The sequence below is a fragment of the Homo sapiens genome, chromosome 3 (genome assembly GCF_000001405.40).
Source record: "Homo sapiens chromosome 3, GRCh38.p14 Primary Assembly".
In the NCBI taxonomy this organism is placed as follows: domain Eukaryota; kingdom Metazoa; phylum Chordata; class Mammalia; order Primates; family Hominidae; genus Homo; species Homo sapiens.
In genome coordinates, this window is record NC_000003.12 from 168,511,986 (window position 1) to 168,534,042 (window position 22,057).

General features: G+C 35.5%; 1 pseudogene across 1 annotated transcript in view, besides 1 other annotated feature; it reads left to right on the top strand.

The window, feature by feature from the left end:
* The window catches only part of EGFEM1P (EGF like and EMI domain containing 1, pseudogene), a 581,078-nt pseudogene that overhangs the window by 262,464 nt on the left and 296,557 nt on the right, over positions 1-22,057 (top strand). The window contains exon 4 of the transcript NR_021485.2: positions 7,551-7,655. The product of NR_021485.2 is annotated as an EGF like and EMI domain containing 1, pseudogene (transcript). The remainder of the gene's footprint in view (positions 1-7,550; positions 7,656-22,057) is intronic.
* Positions 2,213-2,729: an enhancer, noted in NCBI's record as "OCT4-NANOG hESC enhancer chr3:168231986-168232502 (GRCh37/hg19 assembly coordinates)". NCBI's record gives its function as "activates a minimal SCP1, AML or CMV promoter by ChIP-STARR-seq in naive H9 embryonic stem cells {active_cell/tissue: H9 hESC(naive)}" and the evidence as "EXISTENCE:reporter gene assay evidence [ECO:0000049][PMID:30033119]".

Sequence of the window (22,057 nt, forward strand, 5' to 3'; positions counted from 1 at the left end):
ACATGCCTTTCAATTTTAGGGAAAATCTCTATGATACTTCCAATACTTCCATTTTGATGTAAGAAGCAAGTTTACCTCCAAAGGGCCTTGGGTCTTCTTACCCTTGTTAGTGATACGAGATGTCACAACTCTCTTCTAGTCACTGGAAGTTAATGTCAATTGGAGTCTTTATAATCATTTAATTTTTCTTAATACAGAAAAAATTGATCTATCAAATGATTTTTAAGTTCATATGCAAAAGTAATGTATGTTACTTATTAAAACATTAAAGAAAAAATGTTAGGCTACTGTGAGTTCACTAAAAACAGGAATTTGATAAATGGTAAGTAAATACATAAATTTAATTGATAATTTTGCACTTATATTTTTATATCACATTATATTTTCTAGTTACTTTTCTTTCCAAATACTTAGAAGGTAAAGAATGTATGTGGACAAAATTATAGCCTACTTGATTTGTTAATGTGATGATAAAGATCTATTTAAAAATTCTGGTTATACCATGGTTTCCAGGGTCTAGATTTTCTTTTAGCCCACTTCAGAGTCAGACTTTAGAATATTTATCATTTCTGTAAAACAGATTCCTGAAAGTTAAGGTCTTTCATACCTTCATCATAACAGTTATTATTATGGAATCTTTGCCTCACTTTTCAGAATGCTAACAGTGTTGGACGCTAATATTACAGAATGCTTGCCACCCTATCGTGAAAGTCACCCTTTGAAAGCAGGAGGAAAAAAGAAAAATCTAGAGAAGGCCCTAAGAAGACAAAAGAATTATTGTAGTAAGAAAACTAAGACTTATCAGAATATTCATAGGAAAGCAAGGCTACGGCTTGAATGATTTGATAAAAATAACCACTACTGCCATAATAACTTGTTATGGGTTACATGCTACACCAAGCAATTCAGAATTATTAGATCCTTTACATTCCTAACATTCCTAATGAAACAAAAAACATTATCCCCTTTGTTAACACACAGGATAGCTGAGAATCAGAAAGGCTAAGTGGCTTGGATTTGGAGGCAGGATTTAAACCCAGGTGTGTCTTGTTCCAAAGCCTGTGCCTTGAACCATTATATACCCCTGCTTCCCTGACTTGTAAAGACATTGAATATTGGAATTTGGTTACTGGCTTCTAAGATAAGCAATATCTTTACATGAATGTAGATTGGTTATTGCATCTTTTCCAATTTTAAAGGAATTGAGAAGACACATTTTCAACAAACTCAAGAGATTTTGATTTGATGAAGGGAAGAAGTTTTTGATTCTCAGGCTGTGGAAATAGTGAAAAGAAACAAACAAAAAGGATTATGTGGACTCTAAAAGGGGTGTCTTCAAGAAACAAGTAGTCAAAACTACCTTTTTAAATTATGTGGGTCAATCCCCCAAACGAACATAAGGAGCTGCACACAGGTATAGCCTCCTTTTAGACATTTTTATTATGATTTAAACACCTTTATGTGAAACATATTTCATACATATTGAACTCAGTCAACATCACTTCACATTCACTTCGTATCTCTGTCTGTATATCCCTAGACCTTTAAGGAGTTTTTCTTACTTGTTGTAACTTTTCTCATTAACTGTTTTTGTGCATTCTCATCAAACTAGGCACCTAACCTACTTTCATTTGTTATAGCTACGTAGAAGTTTCTTCTGTTGTTGTGTCTTAGTTTACCTGGATATTTCTGTGCTGTTGGGTATTTACATTTTTCCTGCTTTTTTCTCTATTATGAGTAAATTTTTTTAAGGGGGGAGTGGGTACATGTTGGTTCTCTTTGAAATAAAATCCCTAAAGTGAAATTATTATATAAAATAATACTAATAGCTTTTCAACTCTTGTTAAATATTTCCAGATTGCCTTTTAGAAAGAACAAACAACTTTTTAATGACTTCAGTAATAGAGAAATCATAGATCCCAAACTCAAATTCCGAATAAATGGGCTTTTCCTAGTTTTCCAAACTGGCAAAATAAGTGAGTGTAACTGACTAGGTGTTTGACAACAGATGGTAGTGGGAGCAACAACAACCTGGAGGGCCAGGCACCAGAGAAAGGGGGCAGCAGCCTCTGCAAAGTGAAGGGGGCAGCAGCCTCTGCAAAGTGCTGCCTGACTGTTGCTTTGGTTATGTCAGTGTGTGTATTGGTCAGGATTCTCCAGAGAAACAGAATCAGTAAGTTATTACAAAAGGAGATTTATTATGAGGCATTGGCTTATGTGATTATGGAGGCTGAGAAGTTCCATAATGTAATCACTGGAACCTGGACACCCAGGAATGCCAGTGGTACAATTTAGTCCCATCCCAAAGGCCTGAGAACCAGGGGAGGTGATAGTGTAATTCCCAGTCCCAGGGTTGATGATGAGATGTTACATTTCAACCAGGCAGGAAGCAAAAAGGGGTGACTTCCTCCTTCCTCTACCTTCTGTGCTGTTGAGGCTCTCAGTGGATTGGATGATGCCACCTGCTTTAGGAAGGGCAATCCACTTTACTGAGTCCACCAATTCAAATGCTAATCTCATCCTGAAGCACCCTCACAGACACACCCAGAAATTGTTTAAGCTGAGAGATTTGTCAAATTCACACATAAAATTAGTTATCACAAGTCCACCTTTCATCAACTAGGCACCCATACAGATCTTCTTAAACCATACCTAATCTTTGAAATATGACAACAAGGCTATATTCTGTCTAACATGACACAACTATCCTGAATACAACTGAAAATTCGATTCCTAGATGAGAAAGTAAAGTACTTGAATGGTGTTTACTCTTTGTTTGATATCCTATGACTTAAAGACTATTATAGAAAATTAAGAGTACTAAAATACTATAATATAAATTCAATAAATCATATTTTAGTTGATGGGGGAACAAGAGAGGAAAGAAAACATTTTTACTTCCTTTCCTCTCGTATATCTCTTATATATCTGGCATACAAATGCATTCATGGCAAAATAAGGAGGAAATACTCATGACAATTACATTCCTGGCTTCTGTTACTGGTCACTGGTATTTATAACGACCGTTTTCCAAACTATTCTGTATTCCCTTTGCCTTCAGAAAGTACCCTCGTGCGGTAAACCCAAATCTTCATTCCTAGAGGGTCTGAGCCATTACTAGTCCTGCTTGAATGAGATTGCTGTGTTTTTCCATTGGCTTTAATTATAAGGCATAGTAATACTAAGAAAGGCCCTAGAGGATCTCCTGTATTCCAGACATACTCTTCCTTATCTCCATTGTGGATTAATAGTCCAATTTCCTTTTTATAGTCAGGATCAATCCCCCTTGTCAACTCTCTTCTTTGTCTGTTAATTCAAAGGCAGGAAGAGTACAGAGTGGCCAGGCAGCAGTCTTAACTTCCAGTTCAGTGGAATCATTGCTGGGTCTCCTCATGGAAGCATTCTTCCCTTGGGAACTAAGACCTCTAGGCCTAACAGAGAATAGTCACAAAAACAGGAAGCAAAAATAGATGTGTGTGTATATACATCCATATGTATATATGTACTATATATATGTATGTATATAACAGTATATTTTAATGATGTATTTATTGCATGGTCTCATGTTGCTTTTTTTTTTTTTTTACATGTTACAGTTTGGATGCTTTAGTTTTCCATATCTGTACTTATCCATCTTGTCTCTGTTCAGATCCTAATCACTCCATTTCTTTAGTATCAGGAATTTATCTCCTCTCCACCGCTGGAGAAGACCTGTTCTTTATTCTCTAGTTTTTAATAAAACGTTTTACTCTCACTCAGCTGGAATACAGTACAATTTGGGGTATGAGAAATGACTCTAAGGTAATTTTTTCCATACTGCTATCACATTGGCCCAACACTATTTATTAAATATAATTTATTTCTATATTGTTGGGGATTCATATAATCATTTAAATTGATTTTTACCAATCTCAGTTGTATTTCATCAGTCTGGCTTTATGGGCTATGAATTTTTCTTAATATGTAATTATTGCTTTGTGAGTTTAATCTCTGATATAATAAATCATACAGAGATATATCAAATTTCTTTATTATTTAGACAAGGTGATCTCTTCATGTCCTCTAATATTCTCTTTTGCCCCTCTCCCTAAAAAACTGTCATATTCTAAAGCCAACTAATATGGGAAGGAGAATGAAATGATATTAGTTGAGAATGAATGACAGACTACTTAGGATAACATGTATGCCAAGTGAGTTGAATCAGCTGATGTAGTAGTATGACTGACAGTTTTTGTTGAATATTTTATGAATCTATTAAATTAAGAAATGAAATGGATGGTCTCTAAATATCCTTATAATGTGGACATTCTCTGAGTTTTTATTCTAACATAACTCTAATAATTTGGACAACCTCAATATCTGACAGCATATTTCCCTTGTGATATAAAGTCAGTCTCAGACATGGTCTCCTCTAGGGAACCTTCCCTAAATGCCACTACAACTGTCCATGCCCAAATCTGAAGCTTCTCCTGGCTCCTTCTCTTTTTCTCCTTGACACTGTGCTTATATTACTACTACAAAGGCCCCAAAACACAGCAAAGAATAATTTGTTAAATGAGTTAAGTCCATTTGAGACCTGTAAAGTGACTTTCACTGTTAACAATAGTCCCCCTCTGTGGGTAGAAGCAAGAATGAGTTTCCAAACTTGGGAGGTTTGAGGTTCTGGCATCACAGGAATACTCCCAGATTGCTTTCAGGAGGCAACTTCATCCTTGCCATGGCTCAGATGTTTGATTGGAGTGAAAGTTAAAATGAGAACTGACCTACCTGATAATCATAGTGACAAAATGAACATATATGGGGTTATTTTAATTATTATTTCAGTCCAAGATGGTCAGCAGAAACTGTACATGTATGACACATTTAGAAACTTAGAATATTTTCAGTCTTTATCCAGAAAACCATAGAGGATATTCTAAAGTTTAAAGCTTAAAGCTGCTGCATCTTCACACTGCAATTTATTGTTCACTGCTGATGATAAACTGGTTATTCCTGTCACAAGAGTGTGCTAGGCTGAGACTCTGGGAATTGTATTTATCTAGACAATGATAATATAACATAGTAAGTAGAAATGAAATTTTCCCATCTAGCATGTTTTCTGATTACATCTTAAAGAAAATCATTTTGGTAAATATATCTGAAATGAAGGTGGGGATATTTTACAGCTGTAAACTATACCTACATAGCAGGGATGTAGTCCATTAATTCTCAATGCTCGAGGTGAGGCTGACAATTCATAAGTGGTAAATCCAGAGAGTTATGAAGATATTAAATCTCACATCTGGTGAGAAAATGTGTTATTTCACTGGGTTGATTGACGGACACTTTCCCATTACAGTGCAATTTGGGAAATCGCACTGTTAATTGCTAGGGTTTTAGCAAAGCTCTGTAGTTCAATTCCAATTACTTTAGTTTTGAAAAACAGAACAGCTGGATGGTAAAATTGCCCGGAGCTGTCACCAAGGGAGGGCACAAGCCAGCAACCCAACCTCTACCATTCCTGATTTGGATTTTCTACAGAGCTATTAGTGAGTGAAATTGAAGGCTTCTGGCACCGGAGGTCTCCCTGCCATGTGCCTTCTTCTGGCTGGAAGCACGTTTGTTTGCTTACCGCTCAGGTGATTGCCACCGTAATCATCAGGCACGCTCCCATTATTACTCATTTGCTTCCCTCTTCACAGGGGAGAGATGAGAAAAGCAAGTCTCATCACATCTTGATCTCCTCACCACAGGGGGATCGCTTCCTTGCTTTAGAGCCAAGTGGAGTTTACACTTTCTCCTCAGAGATTTCTTTTGCTGTCAAATTGACCTTTGAGTCCTTCGTTATCTATGGGGGCGAATTACATGTTTCCACACACACAGTCTCTTTGTCTCTGGCTAAATCTAGAAAGAACAACTCCAGTTGTGGTTTGGAAATTACCTAGCATCAGCAGCTAAATGTAATCAAACTGGATGATTCAGTACATCCCACCACTAACTCCCACATCGACCTCAGTTCACTGTGTTTGAATCAGGTGAGTGTCAAATGTTTTCTTTGGTTAAGGTAACGTGGACCATATCCAGAGCCTCCTGGCTCCGCCTTGCTTGGTATAGCTGTGAATATGTAAGGGGCTTTCTTCAGTAGCTTCAGGATTTAAGAGCATAATGAAATGGGGGTGTCACACTTCTGATAAAATCTCAGTGAGCACACAGTTGAAGAAGGATTTCAAGAAGAAATATTTGTGAGAAGAAAAAAAGCTTAGTTATGCACATGGGAAATTTAAAGAAAACAATATCTTGCCTTTCTAGAATTTCTTTTTAATATTCATTATTTATTTTTTATATTGTAAATTCAGACTAATAATTTTTGGTGTCCCTCAAAGTCAATACTCTTGAAATATGTGGTCAACACATTTTGACAGGGACGGCTGTGGTGGGGGAAGGGAAGGCATACATAGACTGGCTTCAAGAACAAGTACCTTTCTTCCCCAGCAATGTAGCTCCCACCCCAGACTTGCACAATAATCATCTAAAAAATACCTGTCCTAACTACTGTTACTCTTAGAATGCTTTTTTGGGAGTCTTACTCCCCCTTCTTCTCTGAGAGGCTTATCAATAAGGTGACTATATGCTTATGTGGTCTGCGCCTTGTCCTAATACAATTATTAATAATATACCTTGTATTAGTCCATTCTCATTCTGCTAATAAAGACATACCAAGACTGGGTAATTTATAAAGGAAAGAAGTTTAATTGACTCACAGTTCAGCGTGGCTGGAGAGGCCTCAGGAAACTTAAAATCATGGCAGAAGGGGAAGCAAACATGTCCTTCTTCATATGGTGGCAGGAGAAAGAAGTGCTGAGCAAAGGGGGAAAAAAGCCTCTTATAAAACCATCAGATCTTGTGAGAACTCACTATCACAAGAACAGCATAGGGGTAATTGCCATTATGATTCAGTTACCTCCCACTGGGTCCTTCCCATGACACATGGGGATTATGGGAACTACAATTCAAGATGAGATTTGGGTGGGGATAGAGACAAACTGTATCACCCCTATAACTTTCAAAAGAATACCTAGGTCAGATGATAAATTGTATAGTAGTTCTGTTTATCGATGTATGTCTTAATCATATACAATATTTAGGTTTAGAGGAAACCTGTTAAGTAACATTTCCTCAATCTCCCCAGATTTACCGTTCTGTTCTTAACCTTTGTAAATTGATGCCCCAGTAAGTGGTCCCATCCTTCAATCAAGCCATACTTAAAATCCCTGAGTTATAGAAAAGTATGTCTGAGGGGAAAGTTAAAACAAATTGTATGCAAAAAAAAAAAAAAAAAAAAAAAAAACTCTTGGAAAATTAAGAGGCTTTATTTACCTTCAAAAAGCAGGACATAATGGTTTAAAAGTAAATACTCATTGTTTTCGTTTGTCATTATTTGTGACTTGATATTTTGGATCAATGGCAAATCTCTTCTGAAATATTTGAAATGCCACTTTTTAAAGCTGTTTTTATATCTCTTCTCTTTTCTTACATTTAACGAGCTCATCGCTTTTACTCCTCTCTTGTAGGTCCTCTTTTCCGTCTTCTCATTCCTGTGGATCTGTCCTGTAGCCTTTCCACGCTATCCTCAGGCTCATCTGTTTTCTGAAGATGGGAAAAGCCCTTTGGACAAGGTAGGTATGCCTGATGATAAGCAGAGGTAGCATTTTCAATGTGGAACATTTTTAGCAAACCTGAATACTGCCAGTGTGTTAATAATGTGTCTTTATCAATGGAAACTCTTTTTTTTTCTACTTCATTATATACCTCTAAAGCCATTTATCATGGGAATTTATTAGTTTTGTTTAAGTGTATGTACCGGTATTTTTCTTCAGTGAAATTCATTTCTATATACTTCTAATGAGAGGGACCATTTGTTTAGATTATAGTCCATACTCGATCCTGCTCTTCTTTTTGAAAGTCTTTGAAATTCTATTTTGTTCTCTCCCTTTCCAGACCTGCTATTGCACAGAAAATTGGATTTGTTTTTTTACCTTAGTAACTTAGTTATTCATAATTCTGTGATTATTCCTCATGTGTGATTTCTGTCTCCTTGGCTATATTTAAAGTTTACTGGAGACAGAAGCCATGTCTTCATATACCTTTTAGATCTCTTACAGAACTGAGATTCTTGTTAAGTACGTGAAGAAAATTGCATTGGTTAGCTTAACAGGTTCTTGACCAAAGATGTCAGCACTGTGGTTGTCTGTAATTCTTGTATACAGAAGCTGTTTTAGCCAGGGGTCTTAGATTTCAGGCATGAGACACCACTTTTAGTTTGCTTAAGCAAAAGTGAGAATGCTGCTGGAATCTGTTGGGAAGTTATGGCTGTGTTTTAGAAAATTGAAGGAACAAAGAAAACCCTAGTCTCAGAAACAGCAGTACCCAGGGTGGCCTAGGGTTCCAAGTAATCATTATTAATGGACAAGAATCCTTAGTCTTTGTGTTGTTTGGAATTCAAAGTCTAGATATAAGCTTGGGTCTTATGCTGTCATTTTTTGGACAGGTGTTGTCTAGGTTGGTGTTGTCTTCATGTCTTGGACCCATGAGTGGACAAAGACCTTAAAAAGCCCTAGCTCTGAAGCCGTTCCTTTCTATATGCTACTTCAGACAACGCATATCTAAAGGTGCAATGATAGCACTACCAGCCCACTGAGTGTCTTTCATTTCATTTCATTGCTGGATTTTTTTTTTCTTTTTCCCCAAGCAGACATGCATGTATTCTCTCCCACTCTGCCATGCATTTTATTTATATCTCACCCTAGGGCACTTCTCCATTTAGAGATTCTATTGTAAGCTGTTATCATCTGTAGCATTGACTAGATTTCTATGCAGGTTAAAGGAAGGAATGATAATGCAAAGTTGCTAGCTCTAACAGAATGTTATTAACCAGGGAAAAATACATTTAAAAAAATTTCAACTTTTCTTTTAGATCCAAGGGGTATATATGCAGGTATATTACATGGGTATATTCTGTGATGCTGAGGTTTGGGGTACAAATGATCCCATCATCCAGGTAGTGAGCATAGTACCCAAGAGGTAGTTTTTCAGCCCTTGCCCCCTTCTCTACCTTCTCCCTCCAGTACTCCCCAGTGTCTGTTTTTCTCATCTTTATGTCTATGTGTACTCAATGCTTGATTCCCATTTGTAAATGAGAACATGTAGTATTTGTTTTTCTGTCCCTGTATTAATTAGCTTAGGATAATGGCCTCCAGCTGCATCCATGTTGCTGCAAAAGACGTAATTTTGTCTTTTTAAAGGCTTTATAGTATTCCTAGTGTATATGTACCACATGGCATAAATACATTTATGGATGACTTGAAACTTGTAGTTATATCATGGTTCAAGGCAATGTACTCTTCTGTGATTCCTGCTAAATTTTTAAATTGAAATTTCTCCCTTTTTTATATTACCTCTTCTCAGACAGATCAACCTTCTCCTTCCTAAAAATTAACAGTTTCCCCACAGTACAAATAGAGTATAAATAGCCAAAGGCAGCCTCTTGATGAACAATCAAAAGATGTGATAGAAGCTGAAGTCATTACATCTTGTACAATAATGTTGTTTCTTTCTTTGGACTTAAAAGATATTGTGCTAGGTATAATAAAAATAGCTTTTGTTATTTTGTGTCATCATATTGTAATGGATTTCACTGACATTTTACTTATTAATTTTTAACATTAATATTTTATTACAAAAATGTCATCTTGTCACGCGTGAACAATTTAAAATAAGTTCTGCTTTTTAAAGTATAATTGAATTACATTATGCCATAACGCCTCCTTTTTTTTTTTTTTTTTTGGTTACAACTTGTCTGATATTTTTAAAAGAAAATCTATAGGAAAAAAGCTAATATAAATGTTTTCTCTGTGGTATAATTAGAATATTTTGAAGTACTTTTATATTTATTATTTAATTTGTGGTCATAAATGTGCTATGAAAAAGACAGGTGGTTTAGGATGGCAGCTTTGAGTCACGAGGTATCAGTCAACCTGGAAATTGAAATCAACCATGTGGATAATCAGGCAATCATACAATGAAGCCCCAATAAAAACTCTTAATGTTGAGACTTGGGTAAGCTTTCTTGGCTGGCAATACTCTGTCAGCTGTCACACTTCAATGCCAGGAAAGTAATACATCCTGACTTTGTGGGGAGAGAAACATGGCAACTCCAGATTTGGTACTTCCCCAGACTCTGCCCTTTGCCCTTCATCCCTTGGCTGATATTGAACTGTATCCTTTCCCTGTAATAAACTGTAACCATACGTATAATAGTTTCTATGAGTTCTATGAGTCCTTCTAGCAAATTATTTATCATAAGAATGGCTTTGGGAATCCCCAAACTTGCACTTGGTGTTAAAAGTGAGGGAGGCCTTACAAACCAACTTTGCAGTTGCCTAAACTCCCAAGAAGTTGACTTAAATGCTCACAATAAGGTACTAAAATTATTGATTTCTCCTATTCCCTCTGTCAGTTATTTTGTGAAAGAGACTAATTGGATTCAGTTTTTGTCTATCCATGACAGACTTCATCCCTGAATTTAACACCCCCGAATTTAACATTTTCCATATTTATTGAAGTAAATGTATTTGTTTAAAGAAACCAGCTAATGAGGACAGTAACACCTAAAAATATTTTATTTCTTTTTGAAAACTAGGTTTTGTTAGCAAGTTTAAAATAACTAAAGAGAAAGAGAAGAGAGGAAAGGAAAGGAAAAGGAAAAGGAATGGAAAGGAAAAAATTATCACATATAGTTAAAGTTCAGGCCATACAAAAATTTTATCTGTGAAAAAGTAAATCCCCTGCCTTCCTCCTATTATAGAATCTTTTGTTGCTCAAAACAAGACTTGTATCCCTCCTTTTAATTCTTACATTTATGTATTTATTAATGTTAAACAATTTCTTTCAGATTGATTGAGGCCCTAAAGGTTATAGTTTGTGTGTGAAATCACAAGCCACACATTAATAATTTATCAGTATTTTTTTCTATCTCCTTATCAGCAATTAGCAGGCCCCACTCATTTTTTTTTTCTAATCTCTACATACACTATATTTTTATTATCCTTTTTCTTGCCTGCCAGCCACCACTTCTTTAGTTTTATTGATTTGGTGCCTCTTTTAAAAATATTTGCCCCTTCCCACAATATAAGTTCAACTACTGGTTGGTTACTGGGTGCCTAGTGTGTGTGAGACACCATTTACTATTTTGAGGATCATTTATTGGAAAAACCTAGGTCTTAGTTAATGAGTCTCTAGATTTGATATGTATATGTGTATATATGAATGTGTGTGTGTATGAGTGTGCATATGCGTGTTCCAGCCTTCAGAAATGATCTTTACTTTTGTAGAACATCCCAACATTCTGTGATGTAATCTTTAATTAATGATAAGGGGGAAATTAGACACATATCTCTAAAACTCACTATGAAAGTCTGAAATAGGTATAGTAGAATAAATTAGATGGAATAAACTGCATTATATTATACTTAGAGAACAGTACACTCTAAGTAAGTATCAAGATGTCAATGATAAGAGCATACTCTCACAGCAATTAAAATACAGAACATCTAAAGAAAGCTGACCATTAGCATAAACCCTTTTGAAAATTCTGAAGTCTTTCATTTTCATTGGTAAATCTTGGATTTTCAGAAAATCTAAAGACAGTAGCTTGGCTGGGCACTGTGGCTCATGCCTGTAATCCCAGCACTTTGAGAGGCCAAGGCAGGTGGATCACTTGAGGTCAGGAGTTCGAGACCAGCCTGGCCAACATGGTGAAACCCTGTCTCTACTAAAAATACAAAAATTAGCAGGGCATAGTGGCGCATGCCTGTAATCCCAGCTACTAAGGGGGCTGAGACAGGAGGATTGCTTGAACCTGGGAGGCAGAGGTTGCAGTGAGCCAAGATCGTGCCACTGTACTCTGGCCTGGGCAACAGAGTGAGACTCTGTCTCAAAAAAAAAAAAAAAAAGGGACAGTAGCTTGATGAATAAATTGCTTAAATTAACTAATTTGAGACAGATCATGAATTTAATTAGCAAAAATCTATATTTGTTAAGTTCTTGTACCAGTACTCTTATCCCATTTAACCAATATAGAAAGGAATTATAATGCTATCATAATAATATAAAGAGAAGCATAGAATTGTATGATTTTTGTTTGATTAATAATATATATCTTGTCATAGAATTTCCCCTCTTTAATTTATAAGGAAAAGAAGATATGTTACTAGAGATTTCTTAAGTCCTAATTACAACAATAGCTGACGTGTTTTGAGTGCTACATGTATGTCAGGAAAAGCATTTTATGTGTTTTGATGATGTCATTATTCACCAAAACACTATGAAAAAGGTTATATTATTATCCCCATTTTACTATGACAGCAAAGTCAGTCCCAGGTTGGCTTAAATATCATGTTTGAGAGGAAAATATAGCTAATGAGTAAGGGAGCAGTGTTTGATTCCAGTCTGACTCCAAATCTTCACTATTAAAAGCTTTAGGGCTGGAATAAATTGAATGATCATCTCAGCAAATATTGTTATGTTTCAGCTAAAGATACTGAGAACCAGCAAATTAAATGGCAGCTAGTTTATGGCAAAATAGGAACCAGGGTGCAGGTATCTGGACCTCATGTTAGTGCATTTAGCGCATTTTAATTGTATTCCCTTTTCTTTTTTACCCACTATTAGTTCAGGACAATCCCAGCCTCAAAACTTTCAAACTGGAGACATGAAAAGCATCATATAAACCATACCTTGTCTATCTTCAAATACAAAGCCTTTCAGAAAGAAAGGGATCCATGGCTCTAAATATTTAGATTTTCGACCAGTTTATTAGGGATTATGAAAACTTATTTTTAATGTGGTTGCTAATTCATCTCAAACTCTAAGCAAGTTACTAGTTGACATAATTAAATGCTTACCCTAAAATGGATGGAAAAGATTCACACCTGAAGTTGTTTAAATATGGACAACTATAACTGCAGTTTGCATTCACAATGACAGTGAATTATACGTGATTTCTGCAGAAGATAACAGTGGGCAAACAAGCTTTAACAAAGACTGTTTTTTCTCCTTTTCTGGTTATTTTTAATGGCCATATTCAAACCTAAGAAGGTGTATAAACTGCCAGTTTTCTCAGGATTTCAGGATCCCATTTATTCTAAAAAATTTTCAATGAAAGTTTTATTTGTGGCGAAAAGAAGTGGAATCTGGGTGTGGGGTACAGCAGCCTTCCAAAAGCAAAAGTGCTTTGAAGTAATAACCTTTTCTTTGTTTAATTTAAAAATAATGTTTTACATATTTAATTATTTAATAAAATAACAATTAAAATTGTCACTCCAGAAGTATGTACCATACTTTAGCTTGCAGTTCAGGTATTTCTGTCACGTAGACTATTGTAGTCTCTGTTTAACTTGAGTGAATGTAAACGCCAGTTTAACAAGCACAGGTAGAGAATATGTGAATTTTGAGAAGCATGGGATTAAACAAACAGGTTTCTTGCTGCAGAACTTATCAGGAGTTTGGCGTATTAGTATAGACTGAGAGTCAAAAAGAGGGGGAGACCTGAGCATTTCCAAAATATGTTTGACCATATAACCTTTTTCACATGGATCGCTTACCAGCATCTTATGGCGTGAGTAGTCCAAAGAACACATTTTGAGAAAGTCTGTTCTGATTCATTGTTATCTCTATGTTTTATTATGTAAATACGTTTTTCTTATTTTTTTCATTTAAAAATTAAGTACTATAAATATTCTATAGTGATATCAAAAGAGATTTATGTTTTGGCCATTTCTTTCAAAGCCTGTCATTAAACTTTGTTTGTATGTGAATAAAGCTTTTGCACAATTTTCTCAGTGTTTGAAAATAATGTCACTAGGTCACTAGTCTAGAAATATCTCCTGGATTCTGATGCCTGCCAACTCTGGGACTCCATACTTTCTAGTCATGTAACCTTTCTTAGTCTCGATTGCTTATTTAATTTTATTTTAGAAAGATAACACCTGTCCTATCCAATTCACAGTGTTTTGAGTATTAAATAATTACATTTACTGTATAAACTAGGAAATATGAGAGCAATGTGAGGTATTATCAATATTATTACCAATATTATTTTTACTATATAACATCTCATTTCCATTTAATTCTCTAAAAAGTGTTGGATAGGCTTGGTGGAGACTTACTAACATTGATGAAAACAATTTGAAGTAAGGATTGATTGATTCTTTGAATTAAATGTGAGTTTTTTCTAATAGGTTCTTCTACCAACCTTTGAAAATAGATCTGTCTATATTTTTATATAGGTTATGTAGCTTTAATTTGTTTCTTCTTATTTGCTGTCAGCTGTCATAGCTACCATTCCCATGGGAGGCTTTCTTTGTCTTATAATTTATTTTTAAGTGAGAAGACAAAACTGTTTTAGTTAAATTTTTTTTTCAAGTTTTCTGTAAGTGGCATTTATGAGCAATTTCAGATTTATTCTGTTATAATGGCATTTTAAAAAGATTATCCTTAGGCATTATGATGGCTTTAGAATAAATCTAGCTAAAAATTTTATCTTTGCTATTAAAAAGACCGCTTCTAAATGTCTTTAAACATAGTCCATCTTTCAGAGACCCTTTTGTTTGAAGATAAGTTTGTCCCGTGAGTATATTGAACAACAGTAATGCATGGCATTTATTCAGCATTTTGTATTTTCAAAGCAATTTGCAATCATCAATTCATTTAACCACCCAACAATCCCAGCACTGAGAAGCAAATGTGACCTGACCACCACCTGAGCTGGTATTAGCACCCCAAATTGCCTTCTATGCTCACATTATTGAGACTTGCTTTGGTTAAAAACCATCCTTGAGACAAAAGAAAAGCTAAATATAAGCTCCTTCCTTCTGCTTCTTTGTCATTTATTTTCTCACAAGTGGAATAATCTATTGCCATTTCAGTGGGAGCTGTCTGAGTCCCCATTACTCCTTAGAGGTGGTTTTCATTTAAAGATAATGACAAGCTGTTATGGTAAGATCCTTTTAGAGAACTTCATGTGCTCACCCTTTAAGGTCGAATTTAGATGTTATTTCATAACTGAAATGTTCCATAAAACTTCTTTTTTGGTCTTCCTAGGATTTAATTTCTTTCTCCTGTGCTCACACAGAATTTTATATATACTTCTGTTATAGCTCTTGCCAAAATTTTGGTGTAGCTCTAAGTCTAGAATGGGAGCATTACTATGGCCTGTAACCATGTCTTCTTTATCCTTCTATCTATTGTTGTTCATTAGCACACTGTCTGGAATATGTGGGAACTCAAGAATCTTTTAATCCCATGTTAGAACTCAACTGCTCCAGGTGGCTTTCACCCAGCCACCCACCTTATGCTCTGACTGATGTGCGGAGTAGAAAATGGGAACTGAATTAGATGAGTCCAGGAAAGTCTTCCTGGATGTATGAATGATTTGGCTAATTTCTCAGACTGATGAGGTGTTATTTTGGTAAAGAACATAGGAAACAGTGTGTGAAAGCTCTGAAGCAGGAAACAGCATAACGTACTGGACTATGAATAGTCCTAGTAAGAGTGGCCATCACATGCAAGCATCCCCTTCATTGCCGTCATTGCCATCATCATCTTACAATTACCACTTAATGAGCATTTTCAAGGAACCCACTGCTGTCATTGGTGTCTTATAGACTTTTTCACACATAAAAATCACCATAGACATACAGTGCAGGAATTATCCTCATAATTTTTTCAGGTAAAGAAAGGTTCAGAGAGACTAAGAAACTTTTTCAAGTTAATGCAGCTAGTAAGCAACGTAGCCAGCCCTTGAACCTTAAGACACAGGGATTGTATTTTTGTGGATTGCGTAGTGCCACTTGCATACCATCTCGAGACTGCTTGCTCCTTGGAATACCTGCTGATTGTATCATTTCTCTTTTCTCCTTTGTCTATGAACCTGCAAGTGGTGAGCAGCCCAGAGGCTACATTCAGTGGAACTTTTCAGTTCTGTGATTCTGTTCAGAATCCACACGTCCTCTAAAAGGCCTCCTATAGAAGGAGTCCCCATTAACTGTAAATGGAGCTCTGATCACAGGAGGAATGAGGACAGGAGCTGAGACCATTATTCTCTATTCTAAGATGTCTAAAGCAGACCATAACAGCTTTTATGTTTTCATTCCTTGCTTTGAGGCCTACACCTTGAAGGCTACCTTTCTTCTCAGGTTCCCAAAATGGTTTTTATTCTCAGAATTATAAAAGGCAATGCTATTAGTGCACACTCATGCTGTTTAAGGAAGCAAAAACTTTTCAAATCTTGAGTACAATTACTTATGGAGTGTTTAATTTAAAACAAGACAGATTGAGCTTTATTGCTTGAGGTTAAGGATGTGATATATTCCTTACAGGGCTTTGGACCATGTAGTGGCTCATTGCAGAGTCAACTAGAACCATTTGAGAATTGCCTGACACAATATAGAATAACTTACAATTTATATCAAAGAAATCAATAAAATTTGCAAAGCTTTATGGCTCTTTGAAGACTTAGGTATTACCTAAATTTAGGTGTTACCTAAAATTTCAGCAAATAATGGTTTACTGTATTGAAGGGTTCCATTCCATCTTCCATCCCAAACACACTATATTATAAAATAATGCAAGGAACATTTAATTAATTTGAGAATAATATAGAAGTGTGTAATGTGGATGTGGGTATATATGTATCTGTATTTCCATGTCATTTTGGGATATGGAATGTGCATTTTAGGATTTAGAAAACATGTTCTGTGTAACATTTCTTTGCTCTTTTTTCTTTTATGTATATATTATAGGTTTTAAGAGCAGTTTTAGAGTCACAGAAAAATTGAGCAGAAGGTACAGAGATTTATCTTAAATCCCCTGCCACTATGCATGCATAGCTTTGTCCATTATCTACATCCTCCACCAGAGTGGTACATTTTTTACAATTAAAGCACCTACACTGATACACCATTATCACCCAAAGTCTATAGTTTACATAAGGTTTCACTCTTGGTGTTGTACATTCAGTGGGTTGAACAAGTGAATAGTGACAGGTATCTACCATTGTAGTATTACATAGAGTACTTTCACTGCCCTAAAAATCCTCTGTACTCTGCCTATTCATTTCTCACTACCCAGAATCCTTGGAAACCACTAATATGTTTACTGTCCTCATAGTTTTGCCTTTCTCAAAATGTCATGTAGTTGGAATTATAGTACGCTCCCTAATACATGTAGTACGTATTTAGTGCTAAAAAGAAATTGCTATCAAGTCATGAAAAGACATACAGAAAATTTAAATGCATATTGCTAAGTGAAAGAAGCCAATCCAAAAAGGTACCTTCTATATGGTTCTAACTACAGTCATACCACATAATGACATTTTGGTCAATGATGGGTTACATATACCACAGTGGTCTCATAATATTATAATACCCTCTTTTTTACTGTACCTTTTCTATGGTTAGATACACATATTCTTACCATTGTGTTACAGTTGCCGATAGTATTCAGTACTGTCACATGAGGAACAGGTTTGTAGCCTAGCAGCAATAAGCTATACCATATAGCCCAGATATATAGTAGGTTATATGATCTAGGTTTCTGTAAGTACACTTGTATTAGTTCGTTCTCATGCTGCAATAAAGAAATGCCTGAGACTGGGTAATTTATAAAGGAAAGAGGTTTAATCGATTTATGGTTCCTTTGGCTGGGGAGACCCCAGGAATCTTACAATTATGGCAGAAGGGGAAGCAAACACGTCCTTCTTCACGTCAGCAGGAGAGAGAAGTGCCAAGCAAAGGGAGAAAAGCACCTTACAAAACCATCACATCTCATGACAACTCACTCACTATCACGAGAACAACATAGAAGTAACTGCTCCCATGATTCAATTACCTCCCACCAGGTCCCCTTCATGACACCTGGGGATTATGGGAACTAAAATACAAGATGAAATTTGGGGGGGTGCACAGCCAAACCATAGCAACACTGTATAATTTTGCACAGTGACACAATCACCCCACAATGCATTTCTCAGAATGTATTCCATCATTAAGCAATGCTTGGCTATATATAACTTTCATTTATTTTAATTTCCATCAGTTACTTAGATGGCCTTGAGTAAATGTTGACCCTTTGACAATTGAGCATATTAATGTATATATCAATTGTGCCTGATTCAACTTACGTGGAGTTTTTTTTTTTTTTTTTTTTTTTTTTATAAATATATCATTAAAGGTTATGTGTTTTCTTGATCTTGCCCTGTAAATACTTTTTTAGATTGTAAATGTCTGGGCTAGGATATGAACAATGGCAAGGCACAAAACTTTGGAAACACTAAGACTCATGAAGTCTTTAACAAGTGATTTCACTCTTAGTCTTACAAAATTTTCTAAGCTGACATTATAATTGATGGTATGTAAAAACACCATAGGACAAAAATAATACAGAGCATTGAATTTGTAGCCTTGTCACATTAGTGGCTAGAAAACTATCCATTGATATTAAAATGTGTTATTTAGTACCATAAGATTTGTGACATTAACTTGGAAATTGTCAATATCATTAGGTTAACAAAGGCTACCTTGAATTAAGGCAAAAAATATGGTGGAGTTACAAAAATATGAACTGGCCATTTATGAAATTGAGGAAATAATAACAGGTTATAAATGTTCTGCTGGGTAAAAATAATATAAATGAATGTCTTAAATATAGTGGCAAGTGAAGGGTTAGGCGTAGAAGTTTTTTTTTTTTTTAATACCTCAGGAAAACTTTCACAGAATATTTGACTTTCAGAAGTAATTTAACAAAAACAATAATAATAAATTACAAAGCAGAAAATATGTGAGATGTATTTGTCATAATGATTAGGTTTTTGAAAACCTCTGAATAGCCAACTTAGTCTTTGAATTATTTGATGTCTAATGAGAAAGAATAGGATCAGGAGATAGAGGTAAGGAGTAAACCGCTGAATGCACTTATATAAATATTTTATGAAGGTGAAAATAAAACAATTAAGGCAGCACACAATATACATCACATTGTTACAATTTTGTAGGCCTTAAAATTAGTAAAAATATTTACTATATTTAAGAATTTCCATTTACCAATCCCTTGCCCATTGTGTAAATTTAACGTATTCATTCACTGTCTTAAAACAATACTCTTAAATGTGCTCTGCTTTGTGTTAGTTACGGCTCTTTTAGCCACCAGCTCAACATTTAATGAGTTCTGACTGAATCACTCAGAGTTGTTGACCCTTTGTCCCAGGCTTTTTCCAAAGCCCTTTGTCTGTGCTCTTGACACAAGTCTCACACGTTGCTTTTTCCCAAGCGTAACATTGTATGTATGCCTCTGAGGCTAGCAGGTCTATTCTCTATGTCTATGTGTGTGTGTGGATGTGTCTATCTTTCCCTTTCTCTCTTTCTGTCTCTCTCTCTCTCTCTCTCTCTGTGTGTGTGTGTGTGTGTGTATTTTTTCCTTCAAGACTTCATGGGGAGAGTGTGAGAGATGCAGACCTCTTATTTGTTCTCTGTCTTTCATCATTTTTAGAAATGAGAGTCAATAGCTCTTGTTTCAATTATCTCCAACTGTAAAGACTAGGCATTTAAGCATATTTGAACCATTTCTCATCGTTACTAACCAAGTATTTCATAGTGAATTCACATATACCATATTTGACTTTAGAATAAAGAACTCCGGGTTGGCAAGATTTCGTACACCACATGTGTACTAATAACAATAAACCTAATTTATTATTTATACTCTGAACCCCTTAAAATGGTAGTTTTAGAAAATTTTCCGTTGTACTAGATGCAATATGCTATATTTTTCAAACATTATAGAGTAATCCTTATAGCAAGGAACCAGTGGTTTAAAAACGCTTTTTAAGAGTTTGTGGCTGATGCCAAAACTTAGGGGTCAATACCTGAAGTTTCTTCAGTCGCTTGAGTTCCCTAATTCTGCCTTTCTTGCTTTTCCTCTTCCTACTGCCTTCCCTTTCAGTACTTTCACTTGTTACCAGAGGATAAAGCAGATATGGAGCCTCATGGCAAATGCGTGACTACCAGATCTATGACTCATCTGTGGGGACAATATTCCTAAAAAAGAGTCTAGAATTGATGCACAGAGAGCAGAGAGTACCTGGCTTCAGCTAAAATGGTGACAACATGTATTGTAGAAGGGTCTAGTTATGTGCTGAGCTTTTGCGCTCACAGCTCTAGAAAGCTGGAGGATGGTGAGGGCTTTTTCAGACTTGGGAAGGAATGTATGTGCATGAGTAGCACCTTTGTTTTCATGTAATTTGGAGTAAGGTACACCTGCTGGTCTTAAATTGTTAGAGGTTAAGACTCCAGGAACAGGCAATTCACCAGTGATTTAAATTCAAAGTGATAAGATGGCCCTTCCCTGAGTATTTTCCACATTTTGAATTGCCATAGTATCAATATGCTAAAATAATTAAATTGGAGGCTATTAGATGGAGGTGTCTTTAACAACCTAGGTTCCTACTTTAGGAAACAGAAACCTAACTCTTAATTTAAAAGAAAATGAAAATTAAGTTCATGTAATCACAGGGACCCAAGTAGACATTAGTTATATTGTCTTGAACTTTCTACTGGGATAATCCAAATAGGGCAACTGATCAAACTTTAACCAAGCAAATGATTTTTTTTGCCTTGCTTCAGTATTCACCCTATAAAAGCCTTCCCCTAGGACTCCTTTGGTGGAGCACCAAACCCAATTCATGAATTGCTGTCTGTTCAAATAAATTTTTAAATTTTAATGTGTCAGTTTATCTTTTAACAGATGCATGCACATTTTATATCATAACATCTACCTACATGCAACTTTTCTGTTTCATATTTAGGGTGAGAAATGGCTGAGAGTCAGGCTTCTAGAGTCTAGTCTCACCAGAATATTAATTAGCTCACCACAATTAATTAATTGTGGTTTAAGGAAAGGTACTACAGACTCATTCGTCATGACCTTTGAGAGAATTTACTGCTTAAAAGGTCTTTAATTCCATGCATTCCTGGTCCTTAGATATATCTATATATTATAATCTTCATGAGGCCATGGCTTCTATATCTGACATGTCTAGAAGAGTTCTGCTTATAATTTAAGCACTCAAGAAATTAAATTCATTCTAAGGAAATAAAGTATAAAGGAATACACTTCTGCCATAAATTAAGGACTATCTTTTATTATTTCCTTGTTCTCAGTGATTTACTATTAGTGTGTGGAATGGGGTTAACTCTGAAGCTGTTTACTGTGAGACCAGCCTTCTTTAGACTTCAAATTGAAAGATTATCATAACTGGATATTTTGAGCTTTGTGAGCTGTATGTCTAGACAGATAAAGTACAGAGAATAGTAGTAGAATTGTAATGAATTTGTGTAATTTCCTACTAGGCAATAAAGAACCTACCCCCATCAAAGAAAGCATTCCTAGAATTAAGACAATTAGTTATAGCTCATAATTTATCTAGTATGATTTACCACTCACCTAAGAATGACCCCACTTTATTTTACTTAATTGGAGACGATGTAAATGAAGAATCATTGTCTGGTAAGATGTCAAGTAGAACTGGTTAGGGGTTTTCATTTATAGAGAGAATAAATGCCACCTGTTTTGGTGGGAGTTGTTTTTCATTTTTTTTTTTTTTTAAGCATGAGTTCCTGAACTTCGTCAGTTGAAACCATAACTCCCACAGTTACAGTTAAGTGTGTGAGAATATTATTAAAGGTACATTTTCAGTAGAGGAAGTCTCCAGAATGTGTTACTACTAATCTTCTTGTGAAGATTGTGGTATTAATCTTCTTGTGCCATTAGTGGTATTCACACGATAAAATGTTAATGTTTTTCTTCTAATTTAAGTGCATTTCTGAACATACCTCAAAGCCAAGCCATGCTGGGTTGAAATAAGGAATGTGATTGGATTTGATTTTAATAGAACATAACATTGATGGAACTGAGATTGACCTCATTATGATTCTCGATTCCATAAGAGATCTTTGCTTTAGGCATT